This window comes from Homo sapiens, chromosome 15, assembly GCF_000001405.40.
Source record: "Homo sapiens chromosome 15, GRCh38.p14 Primary Assembly".
NCBI classification, from domain to species: domain Eukaryota; kingdom Metazoa; phylum Chordata; class Mammalia; order Primates; family Hominidae; genus Homo; species Homo sapiens.
The window spans coordinates 45,018,169-45,037,283 of NC_000015.10; the positions used below are offsets into that span (position 1 = coordinate 45,018,169).

Genomic DNA, 19,115 nt, shown 5'->3' on the forward strand with positions numbered 1-19,115 from the left:
ACTGCTTTAAATGTGTCCCAGAGATTCTGGTACTTTGTGTCTTTGTTCTCATTGGTTTCAAGGAACATCTTTATTTCTGCCTTCATTTCATTATTTACCCAGTAGTCATTCAGGAACAGTACAGTTTTCATGTAGTTTTGTGGTTTTGAGTGAGTTTCTTAATCCTGAGTTCTAATTTGATTGCGCTGTGGTCTCAGAGGCAGTGTGTTGTGATTTCTGTTCTTTTACATTTGCTGAGAAGTGCTTTACTTCCAACTATGTGGTCAATTTTGGAATAAGTGCTATGTGGTGCTTAGAAGAATGTATATTCTGTTGATTTGGGGTGGAGAGTTCTGTAGATGTCTACTAGGTCTGCCTGGTGCAGAGCTGAGTTCAAGTCCTGGATATCCTTGTTAACATTCTGTCTTGTTGATCTGTCTAATATTGACAGTTGGATGTTAAAGTCTCCCATTATCATGGTGTGGGAGTCTAAGTCTCTTTGTAAGTCTCTAAGGACTTGTTTTATGAATCTGGGTGCTCCTGTATTGGGTGCATAAATATTTAGGATAGTTAGCTCTTCTTTTTGAATTGATCCCTTTACCACTATGTAATGGCCTTCTCTGTCTCTTGATCTTTGTTGGTTCAAAGTCTGTTTTATCAGAGACTAGGATTGAAACCCCTGCTTTTTTTTTTTTTTTTTTGGCTTTCCATTTGCTTGTTAGATCTTCTTCCATCCCTTTATTTTGAGCCGATGTGAGTCTCTGCAGGTGAGATGGGTCTCCTGAATACAGCACACTGATGGGTCTTGAATCTTTACCTAATTTGCCAGTCCATGTCTTTTAACTGGGGCATTTAGCCCGTTTATATTTAAGGTTAATATAGTAGGCTTCAGAAGGTTGGTAATAACATACTTCTCCCAGCTAAAGAAGGATGTTTGAACCCATCATGCATTGTTATGTGTGAATTTGATCCTGTCATTTTGATGTTAGCTGGTTATTTTGCCCATTATTTAATGCATTTTCTTCCTAGCATTGATGGTCTTTAAAATTTGGCATGTTTTTGCAGTGGCTGGTACTGGTTGTTGCTTTCCATGTTTAGTGTTTCCTTCAGGAGCTCTTGTAAGGGAGGCCTGGTGGTGACAAAACCTCTCAGCATTTGCTTGTCTGTAAAGTATTTTATTTCTCCTTCACTTATGATGCTTAGTTTGGCTGAATATGAAATTCTGGGTTGAAAATTCTTTTCTTGAAGAATGTTGAATATTGGCCCCCACTCTCTTCTGGCTTGTAGAGTTTCTGCTGAGAGATCCAGTGCTAGTCTGAGGGGCTTCCCTTTGTGGGTAATCCGACCTTTCTCTCTGGCTGCGCTTAACATTTTTTCCTTCATTTCAACCTTGGTGAATCTGGCAATTGTGTGTCTCGGGGTTGCTCTTCTTGAGGAGTATCTTTGTGGTGTTCTCTGTATTTCCTTAATTTGAATGTTGGCCTGTCTTGCTAGGTTGTGGAAGTTCTCCTGGATAATATCCTGAAGAGTGTTTTCCAACTTGTTTCCATTCTCCCTGTCACTTTCAGGTACACCAATCAAATGTAGATTTGGTCTTTTCACATAGTCCCATATTTCTCGGAGGCTTTGTTCATTTCTTTTTACTCTTTTTTCTCTAAACTTCTCCTCTCACTTTATTTCATTAATTTGATCTTCAATCACTGATATCCTTTCTTCCATTTGAATGAATTGGCTGTTGAAGCTTGTGCATGCATCACATAGTTCTTGTGCCATGGTTTTCAGCTCCATCAGGTCATTTAAGGTCTTCTCTACACTATTTATTCCAGTTAGCCATTCGTCTAATCTTTTTTCAAGGTTTTTAGCTTCTTTGCGATGGGTTTGAACATCCTCCTTTAGCTGGGAGAAGTATGTTATTACCAACCTTCTGAAGCCTACTTCTCTCAGCTCATCAAAGTCATTCTCCGTCCACCTTTGGTCCGTTGCTGATGAGGAGCTGTGATCTTTTGGAGGAGAAGAGGCACTCTGGATTTTAGAATTTTCCGTTTTTCTGCTCTGGTTTCTCCCCATCTTCGTGGTTTTATCTACCTTTGATGCTGGTGACCTACAGATGGGGTTTTGGTGTGGATGTCCTTTTTGTTGATGTTGATGCTATTCCTATTTGCTAGTTTTCCTTCTAAGAGTCAGGTCCCTCAGCTGCAGATCTGTTGGAGTTTGCGGGAGGTCAACTCCAAACCCTGTTTACCTGAGTATTACCAGTGGAGGCTGCAGAACAGCAAATATTGCAGAAGAGCAAATGTTGCTGCCTGATCCTTCCTCTGGAAGCTTCGTCCCACAGGGGCACCCGCCTGTATGAGGTGTCAGTTGGCCCCTACTGGGAAGTGTCTCCCAGTTAGGCTACATGGGGGCCAGGGACCCACTTGAGGAGGCAGTCTGTCCATTCTCAGAGCTCAAACACTGTACTGGGAGAGCCACTGCTCTCTTCAGAGCTGTCAGACAGGGACGTTTAAGTCTGCAGAAGTTTCTGCTGTCTTTTGTTCACCTATGCCCTGCCCCCAGAGGTGAGGTCTACAGAGGCAGCAGACCTTGCAGAGCTGCGGTGGGCTCTGCCCAGTTCAACCTTCCCGGCTGCTTTGTTTACCTACTCAAGCCTCAGCAATGGCGGACGCCCCTCCCCTGCCAGGCTGCTGCCTCAGACTGCTGTGCTAGTAGTGAGCAAGGCTCTGTGGGCGTGGGACCCACTGAGCCAGGCACAGGATTTAATCTCCTGGTGTGCCATTTGCTAAGACCGTTGGAAAAGTGCAGTATTTGGGTGAGAGTGTCCTGATTTTCCAGGTACAGTCTGTCACAGCTTTCCTTGGCTAGGAAAGGGAAATCCCCCAACCGCTTGCGCTTCCCGGGTGAGGCAATGCCCCTCCCTGCTTCGGCTCACCCTCCATGGGCTGCAGCCACTGTCCAACCAGTCCCAATGAGATGAACCAGGTACCTCAGTTGGAAATGCAGAAATCACCGTCTTCTGCATCGATCACACTGGGAGCTGCAGACCGGAGCTGTTCCTATTTGGCCATCTTGGAACGGAATCTGGATGATTTACTTTTGGCTACCAATTTGGAAGCCTCATGCCAGCAGGCTACTCTAGATCTCTTGAACTTTCTAGGTAATCAAGCGGGCAAGGTGTCTAAACTGAAAGCCCAGCTCTGCCTACAACAAGTCAAATATCTAGGCCTAATCTTAGCCAGAGGAACCAGGGCCCTCAGCAAGGAACAAATACAGCCTATACTGGCACCGGTCCCTCAAGGCGTAGCACCAACCAGATTGATAAACTCACTTATCTGACCTTGTGGCCCTCGCCCAGAAACTGACTCAGTCCAAGAAGACAGCTTAGATCCCCTATGATTTCATCTCTGACCCAAACAATCAGCACTCCTGACTCACTGGCCTTTCCCCACCCATCAAACTATCCTTAAAAACTCTGAGTCCCCGTATGCTCGAATGCTTGGGGAGCCGGATTTGAGCAATAATGAAATTCCAGTCTCCTGCATAGCTGGTTCTGCATGAACTCTTTCCCTATTGCAGTTCCCCTGTCTTGATAAATTAGTTTTGTCTAGGCAGCAGGCAAGGTGAATCCATTGGGCGGTTACATATTGGGGAGGGGGGACTGTAAGGGAATGAAATCCTGAGCATTATCCTCAAAGGAGGGAGGGGCCTTATAGACTTAGGCCTATCTAGAAGCGCCTCTCTCCTCAGAGAGTAAAACCTCACTGTTTCTCAGAGGGCTGAGAGGCTTGAAGGAAGAGTTTGGGCAGAAACTCTGCTTTGAATAGAAGCAGCAGATCCAGTTGAGAGAAAGAGGTTCACAAATTCCATTTCATGGCTTTTTTTTTTTTAAAGACAGATTTTCACTCTTGTTGCCCAGGCTGGTGTTGAATGGCATGATCTCAGCTCACTGCAACCTCTGCTTCCCAGGTTCAAGCTATTCTCCTGTCTCAGCCTCCCGAGTAGCTGAGATTAAGGCGCATGCCACCATGCCCGGCTAATTTTTGTATTTTTAGTAGAGACGGGGTTTTCACCATATTGGTCAGGCTGGTCTCGAACTCCTGACCTCAGGTGATCCACCTGCCTCGGCTTCCCAAAGTGCTGGGATTACAGGCAAGAGCCACTGCGCCCGGCCTCATGTCTTTTTTATACTTAAGCACCAGGCCCATGTAATGATGCACGAATTCATTTACTCCTACTCGTGCCAGGCCCTTTCCTGGGGGCTGGAGACAAAGGGCCGACGTGGACGCTGCGTCATGGTAGCACCTGTCTCGCAAAGTGCACACCGTGCTCCACCCACAGCCTCAGCATTCTCGTTGCTAGGAATATGGACCCTCAGGCAGCACCTCAGACCTAGACCTACTGTATCAGAATCTCTGTGCTGGTCCTGAGAATGTGCATTCTCAACAGCGCCTCACATTCCCCACCCCAATTCTTCTGCAGCTAACGTTTGAGAGCGCTGGTCTGGTGCCTACTGCCTCTGCAGGCGGTTTTCAAGGCAGCCGTGTGTGCTTGCATGTGAGGCGGCAAAAACAGCGCGCTGCAGGGCCGGCGCGGTGGCTCACGCCTGTAATCCCAGCACTTTGGGAGGCGGAGGCGGGTGGATCACGAGGTCAGGATATCGAGACCATCCTGGCTAACACGGTGAAACCCCGTCTCTACTAAACAAAAATACGTGGTGGTGGGCGCCTGTAGTCCCAGCTATTCGGGAGGCTGAGGCAGGAGAATGGCTTGAACCCGGGAGGCAGAGCTTGCAGTGAGCCGGGATCGCACCACTGTACTCCAGCCTCGGCGACAAACAAACAAACAAACAAAAAAAACAGCGCGCTGCAGATGGAGCCAGCACCCGGGCTTCTCGCTCCCAGCCCCCTCCCGAAGCCCCGCCCCGCCTCCGGGTCTGGAGGAGGCTGGGAAGCCCCGCCCCTCCACGCTAGCGCCGCCCAGGCTGGCACAAAGGAGGAAGCCTAGTCCCGCCCCTGCGTGCGGCGCTTCTCCCAGGCCCCACCTTCCATCCAGTGCCCTGGACCCTCGGCTGGGTAGCGCCACCAGAGCGACCAAACGTCCCGCGCCTTCCAGGCCGCACTCCAGAGCCAAAAGAGCTCCATGGCGGCGGCGGCCAAGCCCAACAACCTTTCCCTGGTGGTGCACGGACCGGGGGACTTGCGCCTGGTAAGCTGGGAAGGAGGGTGGGAAGCATACCGATCCTGCCTCACTCTCCTCTGAGCCCAGCCATAGTCCTGGCTTCCCACTTCCAGCCTGGCGCCGGCCCCGCACCTTAAGCGCCCTGGCTGCCCAGATCCCAGCTGGTTCCCCTCGGGGTGTGGGGGCAGCAGGTAGTGGCTGTTGCGAAGGGCAGGGATCTAGTCGTGTGCCTCCCGGAACCTAGCCCCGTGGCTGGCACGTGGCCGGTGCCCAGGACGGTTGCAAACTGTTTGAATGAAGCTTTCTCTCTCCTTTGCCAGCTGCAGATTCATAGTCCAGCCTCTTGTCATTGACCTTTCCAAAGGAAATGCTAAGGCTGTCTGAATTATCGGGGCAGACCGTGCAGAGCAGAGAAAGGGGGGCCAGAGGACACTTAGAAACAGCAGAACTTGTATTTAACTCCCTTGCTTGGGACTGATAAACCTCCCTTGCAGGATTATGATGATCACAAGAGTACTCAGCACTTAGTACGTGCTCAGGAAGTGCCAGCTCCTTCTCCTTTCCTTCCAGTCTAGGCCTCCATCTCCAGAACCCCTGCTGTTCCCCTTGCCTGTGCCAGACTTGTGGATCTTGATAGCTCCCTTGTCTGTAAGGATCCTTCTCTCCCTAAGACCCTGTCTGGTTCACTTTCCAGCAGTTTTTCTTTCCAATCCCGTGCCTCTGTCCCTTTAGGAGCATTCTGTATGTGTGTCCTCTGCCTTAGACCCTGCCTTTTGCTCCCTGGCTTGTGGCACCAAAGTTTAGGAAGTGGCTGAGTCAGCAGCCTAGTCATGCCAAGCCTCCCTTGACAAAGTCCCTCTCAGATGGGCCTGGGATGGCAGTGGGTATGTGGGATGAGTGCCAGCCATCTCTGCTGCTCCCCTGTACCTCTTTTCCCTCAAAGTACATGCGTCAGTATGTAAACTGCAGTAATTCAGAAGCTTATCCAGGTTAGCAGTTCTTGACTATTTAAGAATCTGTGGTGTCCCCTCCACAGAATGCAAATAGACTGAGTTTGGCAACAATTTCAGACTGCTCAAGGACTCCCTTTAAGCCGCTCTAAGCCCCTCTATAGAACCCTTGTCCCAGCTGACTCTCCATCTCCTCAGTTGAAGAAAGTACCATACCCAAGGTGATAGGTTTTGTTAGTTAACAGAGCCACGACAAGGACTCAGATGTTCAGACTCCCCATTCTAGTGCTCATTCCACTCTTTGGAGCCTCCACCCAAGGTCCTGAATTAAAGTGAGGCTGTTAGTGTTTACTGTTGCAAATGCCAGATGGTATTATGAGTAAGGGAAAGTGGTCCAGCTCTACCCAGCTTGCAGAGTGATTTCCAACTCAGTACTTCATTCCACAAACATTCACTCATGAAAGGGTGCCTGCCATGTGCCAGGCACTGGGCTGAGGGCCCAGAAAGGAGGACACAGCCCCTGCTCCCAAGTTTACTGAGGGAGGCAGACAGATAAAGTCAACAATTATGACAGAGCCCGAGGGCTTTGATGGAGGCCTCAGAGAGAAAAGACGCCACAGGGAGGGGCCCTTGGCCCTCTATCTGCTCAGAGCCTGCTTAAAAGTCATGCACCTAAGGTGCAGAAACACAGTTAAGTTCTCCTTCATCTTACCTCAAACTCATGGTCTTCCACTGCTCAGGCAGACTACCTCTACTATGGTTCCGTAGACAAAGCTTTGAAGATTAGAGCAGCAGCGAACTAACCTTGATCTCATCAGCTTTGCATTAGAACCCACTCTCTGACTGGATTAGGGGCTAGGTTGGGGTGGCTGTAACCTGAAGTATCTAGAAAATATGATGGGCTAGAGAATTTCACCTTTGGTTGTGTGCTGGAACACTAGCTGGGTAAAAGAGTTCAGAGGAGGATTTAGGAAAACACCTAGGCTCAGTTTGAGAATGGGAAGTGGTAGCGTCATTTACTAGTCAGAGTAGATTAAAATGATGAGATCAGGTTTGAAAAGTTGAGTTTAAGATGTCTCTGGAGGCCAGGTGTGGTGGCTGATGCCTGTAATCCCAGCACTTTGAAAGGCCAAGGTAGGCAGATCGCTTGAGGTCTGGAGTTTGAGACCAACCTGGCCAACACGGTGAAACTGTCTCTACTATAAATACAAAAATTAGCTGGGTGTGGTGCCACATGCCTGTAATCCCAGCTACTTGGGAAGCTGAGAATCGCTTGAGTCTGGGAGTCAGAGATTGCAATGAACTGAGATCGTACCACTGCACTCCAGCCTGAATGACAGCAAAACTATGTCAAAAAAAAAAAAAAAAAAAAGATGTCTCTGGGACAGGACACAAGGTGCCTTTGAGAAATTTCCTTGGGTGCAGGGGTCTGGAGTGCAGGGATACTATCAGGGGTGGAAATGTAAACTCAGGAGTCCTTTGCTCCTCTACTGAGCAGTACTGCACTGCCCCGCCACCCAGGAGACATTTGGAAATGTGTCAGGGAGGCTTGGTTGTCACGATGACTGAGGAGCACTACTGCGGACTTTATTCAGTTCATAGTGCTATCTTGCACAACAAAGAGTTGTCCTGTCCCAAATAGTGCCCTATGGGGAATTATGGATGGCTGAGCTTGCCTGGGCTGAGTGAACCATGTAGAGTGAGAAGGAAAGAAGAGGAGGACATTACCCTGGAGAGAGCCCCAACACTGGAGGGGAAAGGGCAGAAAGAGTTGTCAGCAGAGGAGACCCACTGTGCTGCCTCAGGTGCACCTGCAGCTCAACACAGACCTTCTGGGCCCTCGCCACTCCTTCTCAGGCATGGTCTTCCACCAGCACCTCCACAGTGCCCAACCCAGACCCCGAGTGTGGTATCACTGCTCCTCCATCTTTTCCTTAAGACAAATAGGCTCAGTGGCTTGGGTTTGGGGTCAGTAGTAAACCAGAGATAGCAACTAGGAGGAACAATCCTGGGGAAGCTTTGAGGGGAACCACCCATTTTCCTCTCTGCAAGAGGACCAAAATGAAACCCAGAATTTCCTGGGCTTAATAAATTGTCAGCAAATGCATTTTGGGGGGAAAAAAGCCTTGGTTGGATATGAACTACAAAAAAGATAAGAGGAAGTGGGGAGAATTTGACTGTTTTCTTCTTTTGATGTAAGACCACCAGCCACAGATTAAAAACCCTTCCATTTCTGGCTGGCTGGGGAACTGCAGCCCAGCAAACTGTGGCCGATTTAGGTATACAGGGGGGCAGGGTCTACTGATAAAATGGTTCAGTGCCTCAGGAACTCCTATGAAGGGAGTTGTTTGGGGAAACTCTCATTCCTAAGATCTTTTCAAAAAATGTATAAATTTTCAAGGGAAAAGTGTATCATTTAACTTACATCATTATTTGCTTTCCAAAAAGTGTATAAATCATTCCTAAAATCTGAAGCAGGTTTCCAAAGCATTCTGAAGCAGGAAGCAATGTCTCAACCTTTCCCACTGCTGCCATCCTACTTGAGATAAGGCCAGGAACCAGCCAGCGTCTGGGGCAGTGGTTCTGTGGGGGAATGCGACCTTAGTCCACTTTACTTGTCCTTTAACTGGCAGGAAGGAAACCTACCACACAGCCTCCCTACTGCCTAAGGAGACTGCACCATTCTCTTCTTTCTTGATGTATGGCTGCACGGAACAAAAAATTAAACTCCTCACCTACTAATTAGTTAATGATCACCTTGACCACAGCAAGGAGGAGCATTTATAAATTGGGTGGTAAGTCAGACACACACTAAGACCAGTGGTTTTCTTTTATAGTTAGGAGAACAAAACGAAACAACAATCTGAGACTTAAGGATTTTCGCTTTTCCCTTCATTTTGAATAGAGAAAGTTTGAGAGTTGGAGGGAGGAAAAGGGACTGATGACCAAGTTGATGTATAAAGAAGCAAACAGTGTCAGCTTGCTGGGGTTCTCTCTAAATGGAAATAGTACGAAGTTCCCAAACCAGGCTGGGGAGCCAGAGTGGGGTTTAGTCCCCCTTCTACTGCTGCTAGTTGTATGACTCAACAAATTATTTTCCACTTCAACTTCCCCGTGAAATGGGGATAATGGTAGTATTCATCTTTGGTTGTATGAGGATTCAGTGGAACCAATTGTGCGTGTGAAAGGCCTAGCACAGCATTTAGCACACTGTTAATGGTATGTGCTAACTGTGGAGATAAGCAGGAAGCCAGAGCCCCTGAGGACGGACACTTAAACCATATCAGCTTAAAAAGAGGTGGATGGAGACCAGGGCCTTCAAACACATGAACAGTTTTCCTAACCAAATTATTATAATGTGGGCCCAGGCAATAATCTTGCTTTCCACTGTATTTACCAGTTTAATTACTGTATGCCCCTTTGATCAGTCTATTGAGACCCAGAAGCTTTTAATTAGGAAATGAATTATGGATTCATGAAGTTAGAATATAAAATAGTCAAATTAGTTTTTACCCCATAGAAGCTATGTTTGGTGGTGGGGGTGGTGGGAAGCTTGTTTTTACAATGTAGGGTTCACTCGAATGGTAAGGAAATGCGGGGAATTAATATATTGACTGCCTACTGCATTCCAGGCATGTGCTGGGAACTTTAATACAGGGCTTTACAAACTGTCCACAATGAAGGGCCAATTTTACTTTTTCCAGTCGGCCATGGACTGATATGTTTGCATCAATATATTTGAATGCTGTGTCACGTCAAAATGCTATAAACAGCCAGGCACGGTGGCTCATGCCTGTAACCCCAGCACTTTGGGAGGCCAAGGCGGGCAGATCACTTGAGGCCAGGAGTTTGAGACCAGCCTGGCCAACATGGCAAAAATCCTGTCTCTACTAAAAATACAAAAATTAACTGGGTGTGGTGGTGCACAACCTGTAATCCCAGCTACTCAGGAGGCTGAGGCACGAGAATCACTTGAATGGGGAGGCAGAGGTTGCAGTGAGCCAAGATCATGCCACTGCACTGCAGCGTGGGTGACAGAACAAGACTCTATCTCAAAACAAAAACAAACAAAAAAATTATATAAACATTTCTAAATGCTCCTCTCAATTTCTGTACATTGCATTACAAATCAGTTCATCAATCACCCTCTGAGTGCACTTTATCTCCCTTCTTCCTGAAAGCTGGCTCTTCCTTCAGGCAGGAGCATCTGAACAGGGAGAAGTATAGGAACAAAACAGGCTCCATTTCCAGGAAACAACACCATGGAGGGGATGTAGTCAGATTTTTGTTATGATCAGCTATATGAGGAGACAATAAATTAAAGGGAAAAATAATAATTTCAGAATGATGGGTTAATGTTGTTTAATTATAAAGGGCAGAAAAATTAATATATTGGCATCAAGTTTAAACATTACTCGGAGGTCCATGAAGATATTTCTTGAGTTTTTGTCCATTGAGGCAACGTATTATACCTTAGGTCAAAAGAATTGCTTTGACCTAAGCATTTTTAAATACTCTTATTTATTTTTAAAAATAAGATAAATCTATATCTGTAATACAGCACATTCAAAATGTCTATACTTTACTGTTAAGATTTTGGGGTGAGAAGCGGATGGTATAATGAGAGGGCATGAACATGGGCAGCTCAGATGGTCCTGTGCATCATGTCTGTTTCTCTGAGCCAGCTGCTTCTATGTGATCAGATTAAAGGGGCTGATAGTCATGAAGCAGGAGCTGGATTAAACCAGATTACCCTGATAGTGATGAGATGCAGGCTACTTAACCCTTACAAGTCAGAGACACTTGAGAGTGAAAAGAGAATGTGAAAATCCTCCAGAAAAAGAGAAATTGGGTAGCAGTAAGTAGCCCAAAGAACCATCTTTCTTGCTTTTATCTTAATTATGTTTTAACAACAAAACAAAACCCAAACTGGACATACCATTTCAAATTCAAAACAGGAAATTAAATCCAGTAAACACTCCCACCTCCACCAACAGCTCTGGAAAGGCAATGCCTTTGTCTGTGAAAGACCATGAGGCACAAAGGTAGCATTTTCCTCTCAAAGTGATGCAAGCTTTTTCTTGGCCCCTTCGCCAGACCTGTGGAGTACTGGGCCTACCGTGCTCAACCCCTTGTGGGAGGGAGCACATGAATGAGTGAGTGCGGGATCCAGCCAGCTGCTCCAGGCACTGACACAGGAGCAAGCTCCTTGAGGGGAATGCAGCAGCACCCAGGTAAGGGTGTCCATGACCCTGAAGCCCCAGAGGGGCTGTTACAGTGCTCCTTTATTTCCACCGTCTGCAGATGGTGGCATGTTAGCAGCTCAGTTGGCCCCTTGCCTCGCTGCACGGGGCATGCCACTGGTGAGGGGCAAAGGGCCAGTTTGACAGCCTTTTCTGGGTACCTGTACTTGGTGGGCCCTGAGCTCTTGTCCAGTGTCCAAGAAGAATGAGGTCACGCAGATGATTGAAGGATGGTGAAGGTGGAGAATTTTACTGAGCAATGAAAATGGCTTTCAGCAGAGAAGGGAACTGGAGAGGGGATGGGAAGGGCAGGTCATCTTCCCAGAAGTCAGGTTGTCTCCTCCCCGAAGTCAGGTCATTTCCCCCTCTACCAACTGAGTCTGGGATCTTTATAGGCACAGGATAGGAAGTGCGTATTGATGGGTTTGTGAGTATGCAAAAAAGGTTAACGTGAAGACACCATGCAAAGGTGGGCAAAACAGTGTAGAAAACTACTTAGGAAAGGTTAGGTATATGTAAAATAGGTGAAGGGTGGGGATCAATCAGAGGAAAGCGTCCAAACAGGAAGACAAGTTCTTGATCCAGTCCCAGGATTTAACTTGTAGCTTGGCTTTCCGGCTTTAAACTGTCTTCTACTTGGAGGTGGAATTTCACTGGGTACCCACCCCTATCTGCCTAGGCATTTGGCCACCTCCTTTTGCTATCAAAAGCAGGAGAAGAAGCAAGCAATATCACAAATAGGATTTTACCATTCCATAAAAGCAGCCCTATTCTAAGGGGAGACCCTAGAATTATGGATGTAGGGGAAATTTCTCTTTAAAACTGCACAACAGAAATTAAGAAGGAGGAGAAATATGTACACGTAGATACAATATTAGCATCTAACTTAGAAGTCTTTTAGTGTGGCTGTTGAAGCTGGCAGTTTTCCCCAAATCAGGTTTGCACTAAGAACATTAATTACCAGGGAAAATACATTCAAATTTTGCAAAGTAATATTCAACTCAACAATTTTAAAAAACACAGAAATATTCAATTACATAGACCCGAACACAGTGAGCACTTATCAAGATCACGAACAGACTAGAGCATCTGACAAAGCTCAGAGACTTAGAATTTTTGCTCCATATATAGAACCATTTAATAAGATCATGTATGGTTATGTTCATACACTTTGAATTAGGAGGAAATTTTAATATATTTATCCCTGATGAAAATTAAATAGTCCTTAACTATCCTGTGTGGATTCAATGCTAGGTGCTGGAGAAGTGCAAAGGAGAGAAAGGAGTCACCTCTCCAGCCTGGTGAGGACAGGGGAGGCTTCTTGCAGGAGGTGATGCCTGAGCACCAGTCCCAGTAACCAACTGCCTGTTGAACAGCTGTCATGTCAGGTTCCAGCCTACTTGTGCTGACTCCGACCAGGAGCCCAGAGGTTTCACAATAACTCAATGGCCAATTAAATGTGAGGCTTTCACATACCAACGATCATGCAAATATATTCAACACACACAGGCAGTGATAGGGGAGGTCGGGGCAGCCATGGTGGTTCACACCTGTAATCTCAGCACTTTGGGAAGCTGAGGTGGGAGGATCACTTGAGGCCAGGAGTTTGAGACCAGCCTGGGAAAGACCTTGTCTCTACAAAAAATGTAAAAAGTAGCCGGGTGTGATAGCACACTCCTGTAGTCACAGCTACTCAGCAGGCTGAAGTAGGAGGATCGTTTGAGCCCAGGAGTTCGAGATTGTGGTGAGCTATTAATGTGCCAGCCTGGGCTACAGAATGAGAACCCATCTCTTAAAACAACAACAACGACAAAAAAAAAAAAACAACAGGGAATGAACCGTGGCAAGTAGCTCCAGAGACCAGCACGCTGACTGATGAACAGATTTGGATTTCCCTTGAAACAACAAAGTGGGAGGAGTGTTGTTGCTGTTCTTCTCCCAGCAGAACTTATGGCAGCCTCTGTTCGTGAGGAGGCCTCAGAGTTCTCACGGGCAGAGCTTCTACAGGCTCTCGGCCATGGTCACTTTCTTTGCTGTTTTTATACCCTGCATAGGAATGTCCATTGTCATAACTTAGCCATCTTTTGGCTTCACTTTCTTATTTTATTTTATAAAATTAATTTTGGTGACAGGGTTTCACCATGTTGCCCAGGCTGGTCTGGAACTTCTGAGTTTAAGCAATCCACCTGCCTCGGCCTCCCAAAGTGCTGGGATCACCGGTGTGAGCCATCCCGCCTGGCCTTGGCTTCCCTTTCTTATCAAGTTTTGGGGTTGCCTGGCCACAGCAGGTGTTGTCATCTCAGTCCTACATACATATGCTTATCACTTTGAGCAGTCAGCAGTTTCACTGTGAGCTGAGTCACTTATCATTGTGACTCCATTTTGTTGGTGGAAACAACCCAGATGTTATTCAAGTAATGAACATTTTTTAAATGTGGCATATAGATATATAGTGGAATATTATTCAGCCCTGAAAAAAGTTTTGTCACATGCTGTGTTAAAAATAAACCTTGAGAATATTATGTTAATAAAAACAAGCCAGTGACAAAGTGACAGATAGTGTATGATTCCACTTATATGAAATAAGTAGCCAAACTCACAAAAAGTAGAATGGTGTTTGTTAAGGGCTGCTGAGGGGGTAAAATGGGCAGTTGTTACTTAACAGGTATTCAGTTTCAGGTTTACAAGATGTGAAATTCTAGAGATCTGTTGTATAACAATGTGAATATAGACAACAATATTGAATTATACACTTAAAAAGATTTAAGATGGTAAATTTTATGTTATGTATTTTACCACAATATATTTTTATAAAACAATAACTAGAAGGAAAAAAAGACTCCATTTTGAGACATTTAGAATCACAAAACATTATTATATATCAATAGCCCTACCTGGATGTCCCAAGACACCTCAGTCCCAGCATGTCCAAACCTAAGTGTCTCGTAATTCTTGTAGGAATTCAGAAGTCATCCCAGATGCCTCAATTCCCACCTCCTGCGGGATCTGAAAGAAGGAGAGGGATTAGGCAATGGGAAATGGGTGTAGTTGGAAGTGAGATGGGGGTGTGGTGGCCACCAGGTGAGGGGTTTAGGAGTCTCCAGGGTCACTGGTGACTTGATACAGATTTGCATTTCAGCAAGATTGTTATCAGCAGAACAAAGTTGAATGGAGCCAGGAGAGCTTGGGCTGGAGACCAGCTCACTGGACCTTGGGAGGAAATTCTACCTCCTACTTTGACCTCAAGTTTGCCAGGACCAACACAGCTAGAACAAAGCCTCTCATGACAAAATAGCCAATTGGGAAACCTTTGAATTTTCCTCCCACCCTTAAAACACGCTTCAGGCACTCAAGGGAAAGGGAAAATGGAAGAGGAAAGGAAGAAAAACAGGGTCTCTTGCGCCCTGCAGGTGTGCAGGGCAGCCCTCCACAGGCCCACAGGAGGCTTGGCAGCAGGGAGCAGGTGACTGCTGTGCATCTGGGATGAGACCAGCACTTTCCCCACACACTGCTAGCTGTCCCCCACCCGAAGACAGTGGGAGCACATTGCACTCTTTCCACAACTGGCAGAGTCAAGCCTAAAAACTGCTAGAATCCCTTCACTTTCTTCCAAATGCCAGCCTTGTAGAGTGGTCAGATTTTCTTAATGTTGATATGAAAACCATGAGAATACAGTTGTCCTCGGTATCCTGGAGTAGGGGAAGGATTGGCTCCAGGAACCCTTTGTGGATGCCAGAATCCAAGGATTCTCAAGTCCCTTGTATGTAATAAAATGGTCTAGTATTTGCATATAACCTACATGCATCCTCCCATCTACTTTAAATCCCCCTAGATTACCTCTAATACCTAACACAATGTAAATGCTCTGTAAATAATTGTTATACAATATTATTCATTTGCATTATGTTTTATTGTTGTATTGCTGTTTTTTATTTTTTGAATATTTTTGACCTCAGGTTTGGTTGAATCCAGGATGCAGAACACAACTTTTCCACAAAATAATTTAAAATACTTGTCAAAAGATAAAATGACTGCAATTTAATTTAAAAGATTTTCTTTGGCTTTATTTGCAATTCTAGAATTGGGCAACACTTCATTCCATAAAATAGCCTGTGTTCCAGTGAGGTAAACAGAGGAGGTTGGTTTTACAAACAGAAAAGAGCTAAAGAAAGCAGAAACACAAGAAAAAGCAGATTGGTCATTTCGGTTATTTTCCTTGTAAGGTGAGAACAGGGAAATAGAACAACAGAAAAATAACTGATTGGTTAAGATCAGGTTTCTTCAGGTCATTATTTTTTATTTTTTGGTAAGGATTAAAGTAGAGGGAACTTTATTATCATGCTGACTGAAACTGGCCTGTTTGGGATATTTGGCTATTATCTCTCCTGATTTCTCGGAAGGTCATATAAGAACTTAGTTTTGCTTTGATGATGTGGAACTTTAGTATGAGTGGCTCCATTTTGGGTTTTTAATTCTGTTCTCTTGGGGCGCTGTGCAGGAGCAAAACAGTGGCCTCCTGTAATTTCTATTTAACATGCTTTACTCTTATCAAAAGGACAAGATTGTCCAGGGTTGGTTCAACCATAGTGTGAACTAATTATGGAAAAAGAACTTTGATTTTACTTCTTTTGTAATAAGAGTGAATGTATTTACTGAGTCGGCATTCCCTTTCATGATTATCATTATATGAAGGAGGAAATTGGGGCACACAGGGGTTACATAACTACCCTGAGGTCACGCAGCTGGTGGGGGAAGCCTGGGTTGCATGTTGACAGGCAGTTCCAGAATCTGAGTTCACTGTGCCACTCAGGTTGGCTGGAGGAGGGAAAAGGCATCTTCCTTCCATTTCTGCTTGTGTTGAGGCTGTTGCTACAACCCAAGCAAGACGTGTTGAGGGAATCAACTCAGTTATGCAGGTGGAAGTAGAGGAAAAGGGACCAATGACGACATAGCTAGGAAATATATATTTAGGCTAATGTAAAAAAATGTATTTAGGAAAAGCAAGATAACATTTAGTATGTGAGAGGTACCTGAGATGATTCCATGTCCCCGCAGAGAGTACTTCCTGAAGTATTTCCATGAGTTACTTCAGGAGTGGGCTGGTAGGGCAGCGGGAGCAGCTGAAGGGGATAGAAGGTGAGAGGTGACAGCGTGCTGGCAGTCCTCACAGCCCTCTTCGCTCTCCGCGCCTCCTCTGCCTGGGCTCCCGCTTTGGCGGCACTTGAGAAGCCCTTCAGCCCACCACTGCACCGTGGGAGCCCCTTTCTGGGTTGGCCAAGGCCGGAGCCGGCTCCCTCAGCTTGCAGGGAGGTGTGGAGAGAGAGGCGCGAGCGGAAACCGGGGCTTCGCGCCGCGCTTGCGGGCCAGCTGGAGTTCCGGGTAGGCGTGGGCTTGGCGGGCCCCGCACTCAGAGCAGCCGGCCGGCCCTGCGGTTCCCGGGCAATGAGGGGCTTAGCACCCGGGCCAGCGGCTGCGGAGGGTGTGCTGGGTCCCCCAGCAGTGCCGGCCCGCCGGCGCTGCGCTCGATTTCTCGCCGGGCCTTAGCTGCCTTCCCGCGGGGCAGGGCTCGGGACCTGCAGCCCGCCATGCCTGACCCTTCCCCCGACTCCGTGGGCTCCTGTGCAGCCTGAGCCTCCCCGACGAGTGCCGCCCCCTGCTGCACGGCGCCCAATCCCATCGACCACCCAAGGGCTGAGGAGTGTGGGCGCACGGTGCGGGACTGGCAAGCAGCTCCACCTGCAGCCCCAGTGCGAGATCCACTGGGTGAAGCCAGCTGGGCTCCTGAGTCTAGTGGGAACTTGGAGGACCTTTATGTCTAGCTCAGAGCTTGTAAATATACCAATCGGCACTCGGTATTTAGCTCAAGGTTTGTAAACACACCAATCAGCACCCTGTGTCGAGCTCAGGGTTTATGAATGCACCAATCCACACTCTGTATCTAGCTAATCTGGGGGGGAGGTGGAAAACCTTTGTGTCTAGCTCAGGGATTGTAAATGCACCAATCAGCACCCTGTCAAAACAGACCACTGGGCTCTAGCAATCAGCAGGATGTGAGTGGGGCCAGATAAGAGAATAAAAGCTGGCTGCCTGAGCCAGCAGTGGCAACTCGCTGGGGTCCCCTTCCACACTGTGGAAGCTTTGTTCTTTCGCTCTTTGCAATACATTTTGCTACTGCTCACTCTTTGGGTACACACTGCCTTTATGAGCTGTAACACTCACCGTGAAGGTCTGCAGCTTCACTGCTGAAGCCAGCGAGACCACGAGCCCACCGGGAGGAACGAACAACTCCAGACGCGCCGCCTTAAGAGCTGTAACACTCACCGCGAAGGTCTGCAGCTTCACTCCTGAGCCAGCGAGACCACGAACCCACCAGAAGGAAGAAACTCCGAACACATCTGAACATCAGAAGGAACAAACTCCGGACACGTCGCCTTTAAGAACTGTAACACTCACGGCGAAGGTCTACAGCTTCACTCCTGAAGCCAGGGAGACCACGAACCCACCGGGAGGAACAAACAACTGCAGAAACGCTGGCTTAAGAGCTGTAACACTCACCGCGAAGGTCCGCAGCTTCACTGCTGAGCCAGCGAGACCACGAACCCACCAGAAGGAAGAAACTCCGAACACATCCGAACATCAGAATGAACAAACTCCGGACACGCCCCCTTTAGGAACTGTAACACTCAATGCGAGGGTCCGCAGCTTCATTGTTGAAGTCAGTGAGACCAAGAACCCACCAATTCCGGACACAAAGAGAGGAGTATATATGTGATTAAGATATGTATTTCTGACTTGAAGTGAAATATTCTGGAAAACTCACACAACTATGGTAAAGAAGAATTACTCAATTCCTTTTAGTCCTCTTGTAGTCACTCATTAAAAGATAAGAAATTCGGCCAGGCACAGTGGCTCACGCCTGTAATCCCAGCACTTTGGGAGGCAGAGGCAGGCAGATCAATTGAGGCCAGGAGTTCGAGATCAGCCTGGCCAACATGGTGAAACTCCGTCTCTACCAAAAATAAAAAAAAATTAGCCACGCAGCGTGGCATGCACCTGTAATCCCAGCTACTTGGGAGGCTGAGGTGGGAGGATGGGAGGATCACTTGAGTTCAGGAGGTTGAGGCTGCAGTGAGCCGAGATCGTGCCACTGCACTGTAGCCTGAGTGCAGTGACATCTGACATCAGGGACTGCTGATGAGTTACAAAAAATAAATAAATGAAAGAAATTCGTTTAGGAAACCTTTAATATGATTGAGATGACAAAACCTTTGGGAATGAGAAAAAAAAGAGCTGTGGAGATAAAAGTGAAAGTTCAGGATCTCAGAGAAACTAAGAAACTTTGGTAGATGAGAAATAGGATAAATGGAAGAGTATCTGAGACAGAAAAAGATTAAGCAAACAGAGGATTGTGGCCAACATCATGGCAAGGAAACATGAAAAGCAAGGTTTTGAGCAACCATGCTGTAATAACTTTCTAAAACATTGTAGTCTCCACAGTGTGCTTAGGGCAATATTTACAAACCTACAGGCTGATGTTAAAATGGTTTTGTGCTCAGGTAGCATGTCTCCTACAGAGACAGGAGGCAGGAGACAAGCCTGAGTTGCAAGGGTAATTAGAATCAGCCAGAAAAAGAATGGAAAAAGAAAGTTGGTGTGCAGGGAGAGGAATTTATTTGAACTTCTCCATCAAGCGTGTTCTGCTACAGGCACAGCACAGGCTGTGGGCACAGCACCCTCTCGTGTCTGGGAGAGTCACTGCAGCTTTGCT

At 46.8% G+C, this 19,115-nt stretch overlaps 1 protein-coding gene across 2 annotated transcripts in view, besides 4 other annotated features; it reads left to right on the forward strand.

The window, feature by feature from the left end:
* Nucleotides 4,807-4,976: a silencer, noted in NCBI's record as "silent region_6399". NCBI's record gives its function as "represses an Ori minimal core promoter by ATAC-STARR-seq in GM12878 lymphoblastoid cells {active_cell/tissue: GM12878}" and the evidence as "EXISTENCE:reporter gene assay evidence [ECO:0000049][PMID:35858748]".
* SORD (sorbitol dehydrogenase) overlaps nucleotides 5,027-19,115 on the forward strand; it is a 53,991-nt gene continuing 39,902 nt past the window's right edge. For both annotated transcript variants that reach the window (NR_034039.2, NM_003104.6), the window contains exon 1: nucleotides 5,027-5,181. Coding sequence is in view for 1 of the 2 variants with exons in the window: in NM_003104.6 (NP_003095.2) it covers nucleotides 5,116-5,181 (66 nt within the window). In the remaining variant the exon portion in view is untranslated. The remainder of the gene's footprint in view (nucleotides 5,182-19,115) is intronic.
* Nucleotides 5,746-6,396: an enhancer, noted in NCBI's record as "H3K27ac hESC enhancer chr15:45316112-45316762 (GRCh37/hg19 assembly coordinates)". NCBI's record gives its function as "activates a minimal SCP1, AML or CMV promoter by ChIP-STARR-seq in naive H9 embryonic stem cells {active_cell/tissue: H9 hESC(naive)}" and the evidence as "EXISTENCE:reporter gene assay evidence [ECO:0000049][PMID:30033119]".
* Nucleotides 7,540-7,828: a silencer, noted in NCBI's record as "fragment chr15:45317906-45318194 (GRCh37/hg19 assembly coordinates)". NCBI's record gives its function as "represses an EF-1alpha promoter that drives an FKBP-Casp9 reporter gene in an ReSE screen in K562 erythroleukemia cells {active_cell/tissue: K562}" and the evidence as "EXISTENCE:reporter gene assay evidence [ECO:0000049][PMID:32094911]".
* Nucleotides 13,103-13,397: an enhancer, noted in NCBI's record as "tiled region #12640; K562 Activating DNase matched - State 5:Enh". NCBI's record gives its function as "activates a minimal TATA promoter and a strong SV40 promoter by Sharpr-MPRA in K562 cells {active_cell/tissue: K562}" and the evidence as "EXISTENCE:reporter gene assay evidence [ECO:0000049][PMID:27701403]".